The 15004-nt window shown below is 42.6% G+C and overlaps 1 protein-coding gene across 3 annotated transcripts in view; it reads left to right on the top strand.

Annotated features, from left to right (window-relative positions):
• Positions 1-15004, top strand: part of ANO2 (anoctamin 2) — a 383578-nt gene that overhangs the window by 324895 nt on the left and 43679 nt on the right. For all 3 annotated transcript variants that reach the window (NM_001278597.3, NM_001364791.2, NM_001278596.3), the window contains 3 exons: positions 6041-6152; positions 8380-8437; positions 8582-8682. In NM_001278597.3, the coding sequence (NP_001265526.1) occupies positions 6041-6152; positions 8380-8437; positions 8582-8682 (271 nt within the window). The remainder of the gene's footprint in view (positions 1-6040; positions 6153-8379; positions 8438-8581; positions 8683-15004) is intronic.

The following is a 15004-nucleotide window of genomic DNA, read 5'->3' as shown; positions in this document are numbered from 1 at the left end:
AATTTTTTTTCATTCTTCCAAACACATTTTTCCTGTCATTCATTCACTCATTCATTTATTCAATGCATGTTCATAGTAGAGCACATCTGGCAATAGCTGGGGTCTGCCTGGAAGATGTCTCTCTGGGACTTTGCTTATGGAGAGAAGCCCTCCAAACTGTATGCGGGGGTGGGGCAAGAGTGGGAGTGTGGCGAGCGCGAGGGTTCAGAGTCACATGAGGGTGCAGAGTGATGAGATCTCGAAACCGAAAGTGACCTTTCAATGGCAGACACTTCCACTGGGCCTCAGAATTGTCTCCTGTAGTTAAGGGGAATGAGAATCAGGCCAAAGATGGGGATGTGGCACGTTCAGGCTGGTGAGGACCTGATATGCACAAATCAGGCAGGGAGGACCTGGCCTCTTGGTGGCAGAGAGGGGAAAGGCCTAAGAAGCTAAAGATCTTATGGGGCATTTGCTAACATACATAACTATAGAAGAAATGACAGAAGCGGCAGCGCTAGCTGTAAATGGTGAGCACAGATCATTATCCAGATGATTATTTGGTGAAGCAGTGCAGGATCACCCAGGTCTTTTATCTCGGGGGGCCATACCCACCCAGGCAGGACCGGAAGGAGAAAACCACAAAGCTTTCCACCAGCAGAGGAATATCACGGAAGGCTTTTCCTACTCCTATAGAATTCTAGTTCAACTCCTATAGAATTCCAATTCAACGCCTGCTATAGAATTCCAATTCAACTCCTGTAGAATTCCAATTCAACTCCTGCTATAGAATTCCAATTCAACTCCTATAGAATTCCAATTTAGCCCCTATAGAATTCCAATTCAACTCCTGTAGAATTCCAGTTCAACCCCTGTAGAATTCCAATTCAACCCCTGTAGATTTACACTGCTGTCTCCAGATTCCCTAGCGGGCAATGCTCTTTGCAAAGTAGCGCCAAAGGATCGCTTAGCTTTCCCACTCTCAAGTCCCTTCCCAGGGCTGTGGGTCCTAGGGTCTCACCCCTGCCTGTCTCTTTAATAGGTCTCTGATCAAGCTTGGACTATGACAGATGCTGTTGGTCCCCTGGCTCTGCTGCCTTTCTCCACTAATACTGTTTTACTACTGTATCTACAGCTTAGAAATTTCCTCTCTGAATTACTGCAGGTCTTTCTTAGAACTCCAAAATGTTGTTTAACTTGCTCAGTTTTGGAGGATGTGCTGTTTGGATAATGTTGGCATCAATTCCCAGTGATTTATACTAGACGGTATTAGAGTGTCACACTCAAACACTGTTTCTCTCAAACACATTTCTCCTCACCTACAACTGACCACTGGTTCAACAGGCATATAGGCCTTGGACTTTGGCCCTAGCCACCCTCAGTGACCTCTGGGCCTGCTCAGAAACAGTGTCCATACTTTACGAGGCCTTGAGTTGGGGCAAGTCTTTCTCTTCACTTAGGAAAGTTACAAGTGGTACCTCAGGACCTGCCTGTCCCAGTTTCCCTCGCCAGCTGCAGTAGTTCAGTTTCAGCACGTCTAAATGTTGGAGCACATTCAGGAGAAATGTTGTAAACCTCCAATATTTAGTTCTTGCTTCTATTGTAGTTAAGCCAGACGTTTGGAGGACAGCGTTCCACATGGCAATTCAGGAATCTGGGCTTCCTCTTTCCAGTGGTACTATTGACATTTTCCACAGGAGATGAGGGAAGAGAGATAGAGAGAGCAGAGGACCTCACAGGAAAAATTAAGGCCCAGGCTTGGAAGCAGCATACGCCACCTCCACTCATGTCTGTCTGGCCACAGCTCCTTCATATTGCCCCCATCTAGCTGTGTATCCAGGAGGAGGGAATGCGTGTGATGAGCCCCTGGCCAATCTCTGCCTCCCTATCTCACCCAGGAGGCTGGGGAGGCCTCACACAAGTAGGACTCTTGTGGGTCTGCTCTTGTCCTCCAGCGTTATTCTTCCTGCAATAACCCTTGCTATAGATGAATTTTTAATATTAAAATCTGTACGTGTCTACCTATATTTCTATTAAATCTTTTACAACATTTTTACCAAATACGGTATTTCCTAAACAATGCATTATGCGGTTGAAGATGCTCGGCAAAGTAATCCTATTCACTACAGTTCTCAATCCCATTGAGTTTTCTCTGGCAGCTTAGTCCCCATACAGAGACCCCTACATTGGTGGTCTTCAAGCCTTGGACACATTAGAGGCTCTCCAAGACTCAGGGGAGGCCTACATGCTTTGATCTTCCTCTAAAGGGCCATCTTTACACATGCAGTTGTGCAGTGTGAGAGGGTTGTTGGTAATGCACCAGTAAGAGCAGTCATCACTGCCAGCAGCATCATCTCCTAATATTGAAGACAGTGTTGTAGGATTGGCAGTGAATTAAGGGCTCACTGTGCTGTGTGGGAAACTGGAACATGGCAATGCAGCCTTTCCCTAAGACTCTTTCTGCCATGAGACGGGAGATGATACTCTGCTGCTGACAGGTCAATCTGGGAGAGACTTGGCAGTGAGCAAAAGCCTCTCCACAGAGACCTTGCTCAGTGAAGCTCCTTGAAGGAAGGGGAAAACTTCATTCATTTTGGCCTGGCACCTGACACACAGCTGGTGCTTGATGAATGTGACCTGCCAAGTACAAATATTTCTTAGGCGCATCAGGTTAGACTGGGAGTGGAAAGTGGGGAGGTGAAAGAGAGTGTTTGATGAAAACAATAATGGGTCAGACATTCTGATTGCAAAAAGTGGTGTTGTTAAAAACTAGTTTTTTTGAGGCAGGCAGATCTGGGTTCACATCTTACACCTGTCACTTATCTGCTGTGTGATCTTGAGCAAGGCTGTAACCTCTCTGGGCCTCAATTCCCTTCATCCACAGAAGTGAAATGTAATACCTCGCTCACCCAGGGAGGTGAGGATTAAGTGAGATAATGACAGTGCACACCTACGTATGATGCCTTCTGTCATACACAGAGGATGGGAGCAGACGCTTTTGTGCAGCACCCACCTCCCATTGGCCCACGCTGGAGGTGACCTTCAGATGGTTCCTCTTTGCACCAATGGCTTCCTCCCACTCTCTGTCTATGGGCGTTCTCTGATTGTGGGAGCAGGTTCACCTGTGCATAGGACAGGCTGGAAGAGCCAGGGAGTTAGCCCCAAAGGTGACCTTCAGGCAGGGAGGGGCTCCTGTTTGGTCTCCCCTTTCAGTGTGCAAATTTGGAGGTGTGCTTCACACAGTTTCTTAGGAGGTCTCCAGTGGGACTGAACCCCAGTTGATGCAGCATTAACCTGTTCATGAGCACATTTATCTTAGGTTTCCACTTTCCTCATTCTCACCATCCTACTCCTTCACAAAGCTTTCTGGGAGCCCCTCTCAAATAAACCACTTCCTCCTAAATCCTCGCCTTAGGGAGAATCCAAACACATGGACTGAGGAATCAGTGATAATGACTATTGTCAATTTTCAAAGGGCGTGGGTGTGGGTAGTTAACACAGGGACATATAAAGCATAACGGAAGAAAACAAAAAAATAACTACCTGCTGAAGGCATGTAGTAACGCTTCCGGAAAGAGAGCGTGGCACTGTGTGATCTGGAGAGTGTGGCACACTGTGATCCGGAGAGTGTGGTACAGTGTGATCTTGAGGTTGTGATACAGTGTTATCTGGAGAGTGCGGTACGACGTAATCTGGAGAAGGTGGCACACTGTGATCTGGAGAGTTTGGTATGCTGTGAATTGGAGAGTGTGGTACATCGTGATCTTGAGGGTGTGGTACAGTGTGGTCTGGAGAGTGTGACACACTGTGATCCAGAAGGTGTGGTACGGTGTGATCTTGAGGTTGTGATACAGTGTTATCTGGAGAGTGCGGTACGACGTAATCTGGAGAAGGTGGCACACTGTGATCTGGAGAGTTTGGTATGGTGTGAATTGGAGAGTGTGGTACATTGTGATCTTGAGGGTGTGGTACAGTGTGATCTGCAGAGTGTGGCACACTGTGATCCAGAAGGTGTGGTACGGTGTGAGCTTGAGGTTGTGATACAGTGTTATCTGGAGAGTGTGGTACGATGTAATCTGGAGAGGGTGGTACACTGTGATCTGGAGAGTTTGGTATGGTGTGAATTGGAGAGTGTGGTACATTGTGATCTTGAGGGTGTGGTACAGTGTGATCTGGAGAGTGCAGTATGGTGCAATCTGGAGAGGTTGGTACACTGTGGTCTGGAGAGTGTGGTACAGTGTGATCTTGAGGGTGTGGTACAGTGTGATCTGGAGAGTGCGGTACGGTGTAATCTGGAGAAGGTGGTACACTGTGATCTGGAGAGTGCTATGGCGTGAATTGGAGAGTGTGGTACTATGTGGTCTGGAGGATGCGGTACTGTGTGATCTGGAGAGTGTGTTATGGTGTGATCTGGAGAGTGTGGCACTGTGTGATCTGGAGAGTTTGGTATGGTGTGAATTGGAGATTGTGGTACTGTGTGGTCTGGAGGATGTGGTACTGTGTGATCTGGAGAGTGTTGTACAGTCTGATCTGGAGAGTGTGGTAGTAACTCACCTATATATTAAAGGATATAAAGGATTTCTGTATAAGGTGATGGGTGAGGGAAGGGTATTCCTTGGAAGAAACAAAGTTTTGTGTCCATTTCTTCAGCGATTCCTACAAAAGCTATATGTGAATTTGTGGAGCAGGCAAGTTAGGGGGCCCATACACTAGTCTCATCTGGACGCAGAACTCCTCAGCTGGCATGGCCCTGTTGTCATGTATCTGTGCTTAGTCCACTTTCAGGCTGTGCTTCTTGGTCCATATGATGTAGTATTAGTGCTTTTCTTCTACCTCTGAAGACTGTGGCCCTGTGCTATAAGCCTAATACTTGTGTTCCCCAAAATTCCTATGTTGAAATTCTAACTGCCAAGGTGATGGTATTAGGAGGTGTGGTGTATGGGAGGTGATGAGGCCATGAGGGCAGAGCACACATACATGGGAAAGAGTCCTATGTAAGAGGCCTGAGAGAGATGCCTTTCCCCTTGACCATGAGAGGACAGTGAGAAGGTGCTGTCTATAAGCCAAAAGACAGGCCCTCACCAGACACCAAATCTACCTTGATCTCAGACTTGCAAACCTCCAGAATTTGAGAAGTAAATGCCAGGTTTTCTTGAACACTCAGTTTATGGTAGCTTGTTATAGCATCCCAAATGGACTAAGATCACCCTGTCACCTCTTGTCCTTGTCATGCCATTTGTCACTGTCTGTGGAGTCCCTTGGAAGTGTCCTGAACCATTGTCCACTGGTTCCTGTGTCTCTAGTCTTCTGAAGGCACCTCTGAGGTTTCTGCTCAGTGTCTCTGAGTCCTTCTGGGAATGCCAGCTGACTCCTCTGCTTGGATCTGATAGAACACCCAGGGCCCGTGACCTATGAGTCAAACCTTAGGCTCAAGCTGTTTGTTTCACTCATCTTGTCTATGACAAGCCTTTATCATTTGAGTGTATGACTGGGAAGTGTCTTAGGTTCCCCACAGGACATGCAGATGAATGCTTTCCTGCATTCATCCAAATTAATGCTCAAATTCATTCAGCATTTTTTCTGCTAAAAATGAAGGAGAGAAAGAGGAATCAAGTCATGGTACCCTTGTAACTCTAGTTCAGTGGCTAATAAGCTTTTTGACCAGGGACCTTGGTTCAAGTAAAATCTCATGGAAGTGGAAATGACACAGGTGAAAACTGAATTCCCCTTGGTGCAGAAAAGGGGGTGGTTGCAAGCTCTGCATGCTCATGGCCCTCTTTGAGGAGGGCGGTGTGAAACCACTCCTTGAGTAGACAAGAGGAGGAAGGTGGACGGAGAAAGACAGTGATCCTATATTTTTTATCCTTCTGTAACTTCGTATTACCTGGCAGACCACCTGGGGCCTCCCAGATGACTTCAGTTCTAATGTGCCAGAGAGATGGGTCTCGTGATTTTTGCTGTGAAGGAGTCAGCTGAGAGATAGTAGCTCATGTCTAGGTCAAAACTCTGGAGAGGTGAGAAATCTCACCCCAATCTCATCAGCCTCGCTCTTCTCTTACAGAGGTTCCGAAAACAGAACAGACTTTTGAAGAGCGCCTGATCCTCAAAGCTTTCTTGCTCAAGTTTGTCAATGCCTACTCCCCCATCTTCTATGTGGCCTTTTTCAAAGGGAGGTGAGTATAATGGTGTCATGTGTAGAAAGGCAATTTGCCACTAAGACTGGGTTCTCTACTGTCAGGACAATAGGGTCAGCCTGTCCCCATTGTCCACTCAGCGTCAGCCCCTTCTCCGCCCCACTTTCACCTGCCTTCCCATGGAGAAGGAATGTTAGCAGGCAATCATTTTGAATTAGCATCTTCAGACTCTGATGACCCTGGCACTTTACAGGGATTTGGCTGTGGTCCCTGAAGAGAGAGTTTTGAAAGAATTTGTGTCTCTCAACTTTGAGGATGAGGCAGGAGGGAATTTCATGTCTAGCCAGTGGCTCCTGGATCTTGTAATGCAATTCTGATGCCAACTACCTGTAGTTAATACAGATTTCATAGGTTAAGGGCACGGCCCCTCACAAGACTTCCCTCATTTCAGACACCAGTGGCAAGCTCTGGGATTCTCAGGCCACCGGCAGTTATGACCCACTGGCTATAATTCCAGAGCTCTCATTACTCCATCAGATTCAATAATTCACTAGAATGACTCACAGAACTCAGAAATGTGCTATACTTACAACTGAAGTTTTATAGTAGTAGAGGGATGTAAATCCAAATCAGCAAATGGAAGAGACATATAGAGCCAGGTTTAGGAGGTTCTTAATCATGAAGCTTCCATGTCCTCAGGATGTGTCACCCTCCTGGCACACTGGATTGTGATTCTATCAGTCATTTGTGATTGATGGAATCATTTGCCATGTGAGTGAACTCGATCTCCAATGCCCTTCCCTTGCCCTGAGATTGGGCTAGTATCACATGACTCAGAGCCTCAACCAACATGGTTGATCTTTCTGGCATGGCCTGCCCCCATCCTGAGTAATCTCATTAGCCTAAATTTAGGTATAGTCCTAGGGGTCTGCCAGGAATAACAAAGATACTCCTATGGAGGGAAATTCCAAGGATTTAGATGTTCATGCAGGAATCGGGGACAAAGGCCAGTGAAATTCTTTATTTTACAGTCAGTCTGGATGTAAAATCACTTTGATAAATATTTTTTATGATCAAGCCAGTTGGCTACTTACAAGGAAATTTCCCAATAGGCGTCAACCAACAACATCAGGAAAGCTTCCCTAGAACTAAAAGTTCATTAAGCAGGCACTAATAGCACGAGCTGTCATCATCCACACTTGATAATTTCTTACAGAGGTGTTTGTCATCCAAACCACAGCCCCCTTCTCAGGACCTCTCCCCTTGGCTGTCATGAAATTATGGAAGCAGAGAGACTGTCCATATTAAGAAGTATACACTTCATTGGTGCTTTCAATGTCGATTTCGTGGCAGTAGCAAATTACATGCATATGACGTTTTAGGCAAGAAAAAAGGATCCTGAGGCTTAGAAGAACTGTGCTATACTAGAAGAGATAGCCTTAGCAACAGCACACTATCATCTCCAGTAAGTGATTCTATCCAGTAAGTGATCTAATAAGAGGTATAAATAAAGTGTTGGGGGAACAGTTATGAACGGAGACAACAAGAAGACTTCAGCAAAGGAAAGGCTTACACAGCCTTAAATGGATGAGTAGGATTTCAACAGGTGAACACAGGGATGACCCTGCAAGTAAGTAGGATTATTCTGATTGTCTGTCTGGTTCCATGGTGGGCTTTTACTGTTTTGCTTCCCCGACCTGCACAGTCTTATTGTCCCCCAATAAAATAGACTCTACTTAGAAGAGGAATGAGACAAGCTTCTTTTATTCCTTTGAATATTTTCAGCAAGAAGTCAAGATTTTTCTTTTCTGACCCCAGGAATCTCTATTCGCAACTTTAGTCCATCTCACCCTCGCTTTCCTGGGAATCAGAAACTCTTACTAAGGAGTTGCAACCAGAGCTGTGTTCTTGACACCAGCTAGGGAAGAAGGTGTGACGACAGTGCACTTAGAGATAATCCAAACTGCATGGTGTTTAGGCTCACACACACACACATACACGCACACACACCAGGCCCAGCTTCATCCTCTGCCCAGCTTATTCCTATCGTCTGACATTTGACTGGGTTAAGAAGTGAACCCCAGGTGTTATAGGGGATTACTTGCTGATAACAGTGTGCACTCCTATCCCTGAGTGATCTAGCACTCGCCCTGACCAGTGCTTTCGAAGAGGACAGTGGTGGTGGTATTCCCCTCAGAAGACATGTCCTTGAGCCACCCTGCATGCTTTCTCTTCCCCTAACTCTTCCCACACTGTTTGATTTCAGGTTTGTGGGCAGGCCTGGAAGCTACGTCTATGTATTCGATGGTTACCGCATGGAAGAGGCAAGTACAGCCACTGGTGTTTCATGCCTGGCACCCCAACCCAGCCCCATTCTTATCTCCAGCACAGCATGGCTTCATTCGCGCCCCTGCTTCTCAGAGCTCCCTTTTGTTCTAACCGGTCCTTTCCTTATCTTCTCCCTGCAGTGTGCTCCAGGGGGCTGTCTCATGGAGCTCTGCATTCAGCTCAGCATCATCATGTTGGGGAAGCAGTTGATCCAGAACAACATCTTTGAGATTGGAGTCCCGTATGTAATGAACTCCTCTAACCTCTCTCCTTGCTGCCAGGGGTTAGCCCAGAAGTGCCAGCCTTTCAGCAGGTTTTCTATGGCCTTTCCTCTTCTTAGACAGCTTGGTGATTTAATTCTCTGTCAATTTGCCAATAACTTTCCCCATGGGGCAAACTTTGCTTGCCAATCTGATTTGAGATGTTGGAGGCTCAGAAGGATTTACCCTTTGCTTAAGTACACATAACTAGTAAGTAGCAGAGCCAGGAGTCAGATGTCTTGGCCCCCAGAGTGCATAATATCTTAATGCTATTTGTCCTCTCAGTGAGTAAGTAAAAGAGATGTTCAGTATGGTGGATAGATGAATGTGAATTATTGAAATGTAATGGAATCATTTAGGACAATCTATACGAAGAAAATGTGGAATACATAATCTTAGGAGGGGAGGGTGGAATAGTTGGTGAATGAGTTATTATCATGTGGATTCCCCCCTATGCTCCCCAGGGTTTTATGAAAATGTCATAGGACTTCTTTCAATCAGGTTTTGCATTTAGATAGTCATGAAAATAAACACGGACTCACTTTATACTGGACCTAAAAGAAAGAAAGATGGAGCAAGTTAAAATATGCTTACAGGTCAAAGAAAAATGTAACCCCCTCTGCTTTTCCTTCCTATTGCCTGGTGGCTTTGAAGAAGAATCTGTTTCAGGGGATGCTTTTAGGCAGCCCAGCATCAGAAAGCTAGGGAATGATAGAGATGCCCAGGGGTAACTGAGAGGCTGGGCCAGTTCTGCTTAGGAGGATAGGATGGACAGCTTGTTCCAGGCCCAGGGTTCTTCGAAAATCACTTTAAAGATGACCATTCTGGGATGGGTGTAATCGTCAGACAGGACCCATAAGATTCTGTGACACATTTTTCATCCTCTTAGAGATACATTAATTGTTTTGAGAAGTCCTCCAATAATGAACCTTTTAAAATCACTTTCTTTCCAAATATATTTCCTCATGTTTGCCCAGGGTTCTTAGCTGCAGCAGTTGGAATTCAGGGTGGCTACTTTAAGCAACAAAGGCATTTGTTTCAGAATAAAGTGGCTGACAGAGAATACTGTATTCTTTAAAGGCCAGAGAGTAGGCCCTGAGCTACATAACCAGGAATAACACTGTTTACACTGTAGGGGGACTTGCAGGGGACACCACTGCCTCTATCTCATGGCTCATATGGCTAAGACAGTAAAAGAAAAATGTAGATGAAACGGCCCTTGTCTTCTCAGAGCTTAACTTTTTAGTCTGGGAGACAAAATAGACTGCATATAACCGCATATTCTATGTATGAATTCAGAATTCAGAATAAGTAAAGGTCAGGAGTTTGGGAGCAGTCAAAGAAGTCTTCAAAAGCAGAGAGGTTTCTGGCCAGGTGTGGTGGCTCACCGCTGTAATCCCAGCACTTTGGGAAGCTGAGGTGGGCGGATCACGAGGTCAGGAATTTGAGACCAGCCTGGCCAATATGGTGACACCCCATCTCTCTTAAAAAATACAAAATTAGCCGGGTGTGGTTGTGTGCGCCTGTAGTCCCAGCTACTTGGGAGGCTGAGGCAGGAGAATTGCTTGAACCCTGGAGGTGGAGGGTACAGTGAGCAGAGACCATGCCACTGCACTCCAGCCTGGCAACAGAGCAAGACTCTGTCTCAAAAAAAAAAAAAAAAAGCAGAGAAGTTTGTTCCAGGATGTGTCTGTGTCTTGAAAGAAGACTACCACCATCATATGTTACAAGATGGACTGCCATCATTTTCTTTATAGAAATAATTTCCCTTAGGGTTGTGTGTGTGTGTGTGTGTGTGTGTGTGTGTGTGTGTGTGTATGGACAACTCTGATGGGCTGGGCCAGCTGGGCCATGAACATGATAGGCTGGGCCTTTTCCATGTTATTTATTTTCATATATATATATATATATATGTATATATGTGTACACATACATGTATTTGCCCTTGCCAGGTTCCTGACATGCCCCAAGACCCTGGTCAGAGATTTATATATAAATATATACATATATATAAATATATACATATATAAATATAAATATATTTATAAATATAAATATAAATATATTTGTTTTATATATATTTTATAAAACATAAAATATGTTTTATACATATAAAAATTTGTATATAAATTTATATCTATATGAAATATAGATATATTTTATAAAATGTATATATATTTATGTATAAATATATGCATTTATATATTTATGTATAAATATATGCATTTATATATTTATGTATAAATATATGCATTTATATATTTATGTATAAATATATGCATTTATATATTTATGTATAAATATATGCATTTATATATTTATGTATAAATATATGCATTTATATATTTATGTATAAATATATGCATTTATATATTTATGTATAAATATATGCATTTATATATTTATATAAGTATATATTTATATAAGTATTTATATAAGTATATATTTATATAAGTATTTATATAAGTAATATAAATTTGTATATATAAATATATTTATATAAGTATGTGTAATATATACTTAAAAAATAAAATATAATATAAATATATATATTTATATTATATATAACATAAATATTTATATATAATATATTTATATTTATCTATAATATAAATATATTATAGATAAATATACTTATATATAAATATATAAATGCATATATTTATACATAAATGTATGTATACATTTTATAAAATATATCTATATTTCATATAGATATAAATTTATATACAAATTTTTATATGTATAAAACATATATATATATATACATTTTCTAAACAAGCAATAGACTAATTCTGGTTTATCACAAACACCTATGACCCAGTTGGTGCTACAGGTAGAGAAGGTAAGGCCCAATGAGCTGGCAGTTCTTTGACCAGGGTCTTGGGGTGTGTCAGGGACCTGGTAAGGGCAAAAGCCCAGAATCTCTCTAAATCTATCGAAAGATTGTGGAGTCCTAGGTTGCTTGGGCTGAATGGAACCACTAAAGGATGTATATCCCAATCCCCCATTCCATGTAAAATTATACTGCAGCCACCTGCTCCCTTGGTCCTCAGAGAAGGCTCCCTTTTGGTCTTCCTCAAAAATATATTTGTAGAGCTAAAGTTATAATGGAGACAGTTTAATTTACCTGGAAATAATATCATTTTTAATGAGAGCCCTGCTTCAAGGAATGAGAATCCACAACATTCCCTTCTAACACTGGGTCATCTAAGCATGCAGGGTGCTTTTCTGACCTTGTACTGGGACAACCTCAGAGGGCACTTGGGCATGTATTTTCTTTGGGGAGGATTGGCGGGATCATTGGTGTCTGGTTGCCTCACTCCACCTCCCTGCCTAAGCCAGCCTCTAGTCATCAGTCAGGAAGTCAGCAACCTTGAGAAATTCAGCCTTTGAAGCTGTGCCCCCCGTTCCCTGCTTTCTGACAGAAAGTCACTCAGTGATAAAGTCAAGCAAAGCTAGATGATGCTTGTTCTTGTTCCATGCAGATGACACTTGTTCTCTAGGAGCTTACCATCTTAGAGAGACATCATTTGTTATGGAAAAACAACCAGAGAATATGCAGATGGTACCAAAGCCGCATCTGGCCCCTTTGAAACCATGAGGCCAGCTCCTCCACAACTGCTATAAAGAAAAGTCTTCATCCTAATTAAACATCTGGGAAAAACACCAGCCTTCCCAGTACATTGTTATTTTGCTGTGAGTAGAATTATTTACAGCTTTCATCCCTGGTCATCTGATCTACAGCTTAGCCCATTCTCTCTGGACCCAGAAGGCTTTTGTAGAATACAAGAGAGGCAAGAACTCGGGCATGTGTTTGGACAACACGTTGGCATGTCTCCACCCCTCAACTCCATCCACCCCATAACAGGTGAAAATAGCACATGGCGTATGCCTTGAAGGCTAAATTTTCTTGTTTATGACTGATGTGTGCTTAATACTTTGTATGTTTTAAAATATGCCACCCTTTAAACAATGGCAATTGCACAGTAACTCATAAAGCCATGGGCAAGCTGCTTCTCAGAGTCTAACTGTCCTCATCTCTTGATGAATATGGTGGCATTAAAATCATATGTAAGGTGTCTTCAAGCTCTAACACCCTATGAATTTCTCTCGAATGAGCAAAGCTGGTCACTGCTGATTCCAAATACAAGCCACCCCTCTTTCAAAAGATGTTTCCTTTCAATTTCTACTCTGCCAGAGGATGTGTACAACATAATTATGTAGTTAAATTCAAGGATGTAGAACAAAAATTCTTTTGCCAAATCCTAGGATCTTTTATCCCCAAAGTTCTTTATAATTTGTACAATTATAAAGGTTGTATTTTGAGTTTGGTCATACGAGATCACTATGATTATGATTACTGGATCTTCGACTCTCAATAAATCAGACCCCTTCAACTCAGAGTTGAAGTACCTGGCATGGATGACACAGATGAAACATAAACAAGAAAAAGAAAGTCTTTCATAGTCAGAAGAGAAATGATGATTGAGCCTGCCAGTGAGGAAGGAGTCATGTAAATTATAAAAATTAGACCCAGTAGTTTTCAACACATCTGTAGGGCAAAGATTTGGTGGCCTAACACAGTGGTCCCCAGTCTTTTTGGCACAGGGGACAGGTTTCCTGGAAGACAGTTTTTCCGTGGACCGGGGGAGTGGGGTGTGATTTTGGGATGATTCAACTGCATTACATTTATTGTACACTTTATTTCTATTATTATTAAATTGCAATATATAATGAAATAATTTTACAACTTACCATAATGTAGAATCAGTGGGAGACCTGAGCTTATTTTTCTGCAACTAGACAGTCCCATCTGGGGGTGACGGGAGACAGTAACAGATCATCAGGCATTGGATTCTCATAAGGAGCACACAACCTAGATCCCTCGCATGCACAGTTCACGTAGGGTTCACGCTCCTGTGAGAATCTGATGCCGCCACCGGCCTGACAAGAGGCAGAGCTCAGGTGTTAATGAGGATGGAGAGTGGCTATAAATACAGATGAAGCTTCACTCACTCACCTGCTGCTCACCTGCTGCTGTGTGGCCCGGTTCTTAACAGACCAAGGACGGGTACTGGTCTGTGGCCCAGGGATTGGGGATCCCTGGCCTACCAGATCTGGGTTTAAATCCAGGCTTTACAATATACTCACTGTGTGACCTTGGCAAAGTTATTCTAGAAATATTGCCATCTAACTTAAAAAAAAAAAAGGTTTTTACGTTAAAACAAAACTAAACTAAAAACCAGCTTGGATAAATGCTTAGCTATCCAGAAAACATAAAATGTGGACATCGGAGGAAAAAAGAACCATTCTTGGGGTTTCCAGGTGGCCAACATTTTACTGTGTGGCATAGGCTTTTGTGTTTAACGGTGATGCTTTGGAAGTGTTGGGACTCCAGGGAGTGAAACCGGAGAGAACAACTCAGGGACAGTCGTTTTCTCTTCTGTTCCTGGCTCAGTGGCTTTTAGTGGGCAGTACAGCTCTTATGTACCTTCAGAGCCTACATGGAATTCTTTCCCCAAGGGAGGTACATATTCATTTTAAAGGCCAGATTTGTTTTTTTTTTTTTTAAATAGAGGCAAGTCTGGGGGGTTAGATGGGTGATTGTGCTGGATAAGAATGTTTGGGAATAAAAATGTAATAAGAATTTACAATTAAAAGATTTATCATCTTTAGTTGATTCTTTACTTCTAAAAGCAATTTTCTAAGATTCTTCCAAAGAAAATTTTTAAATGTTTAAGAGTGTCTAATTGACCCTTATTAGTAGGCCAGGTAGTCAGCTATAATTTATCTCTTTCTCTGAGGGTGCAACATTCTCATTAGATTCTGTATGTGCGTGTGCACAAACATGCATGTGTGTGTGTGCATGTATGTGTATTGAAAAAAATAACATAATTTTGATGGCCTTGAGAATCTTACAATCTAGCAGGCTTCTTGAATTAGAACATTGCTTCCCACTCTTCAGTCATTTTTTAATCAACTTTTAAATTTCCCCCCATTACCTATGCAAACAGCTATTTGCATATTAGTTTCCTCCAAACCAACTTGCTTTTTAATTAAAATCCTCACATTTCTGAAATTGGAAAACTAACACCATCAGTTTCCATAAATAGGAAATGATGTGAAAAGAAATACAACAAAAACAAACCATTATTATTAAACAATCAATGACATTATTTCCTCTCCAAGGCTTTCTGACTAAGATCTGCCTTCTCTTTGTAAAAAATGAGAGTGCAAGCCCTGGCAGTTGTCAAAGGCATACCAGTAGCAAGCCAAAGATGTTTTTTCTTGATGGTAATG

Source organism: Homo sapiens, chromosome 12 (assembly GCF_000001405.40).
Source record: "Homo sapiens chromosome 12, GRCh38.p14 Primary Assembly".
In the NCBI taxonomy this organism is placed as follows: Eukaryota; Metazoa; Chordata; class Mammalia; order Primates; family Hominidae; genus Homo; species Homo sapiens.
The sequence above is the reverse complement of the archived record's forward strand: the minus strand, read 5'-3'. Positions and strand labels throughout refer to the sequence as shown.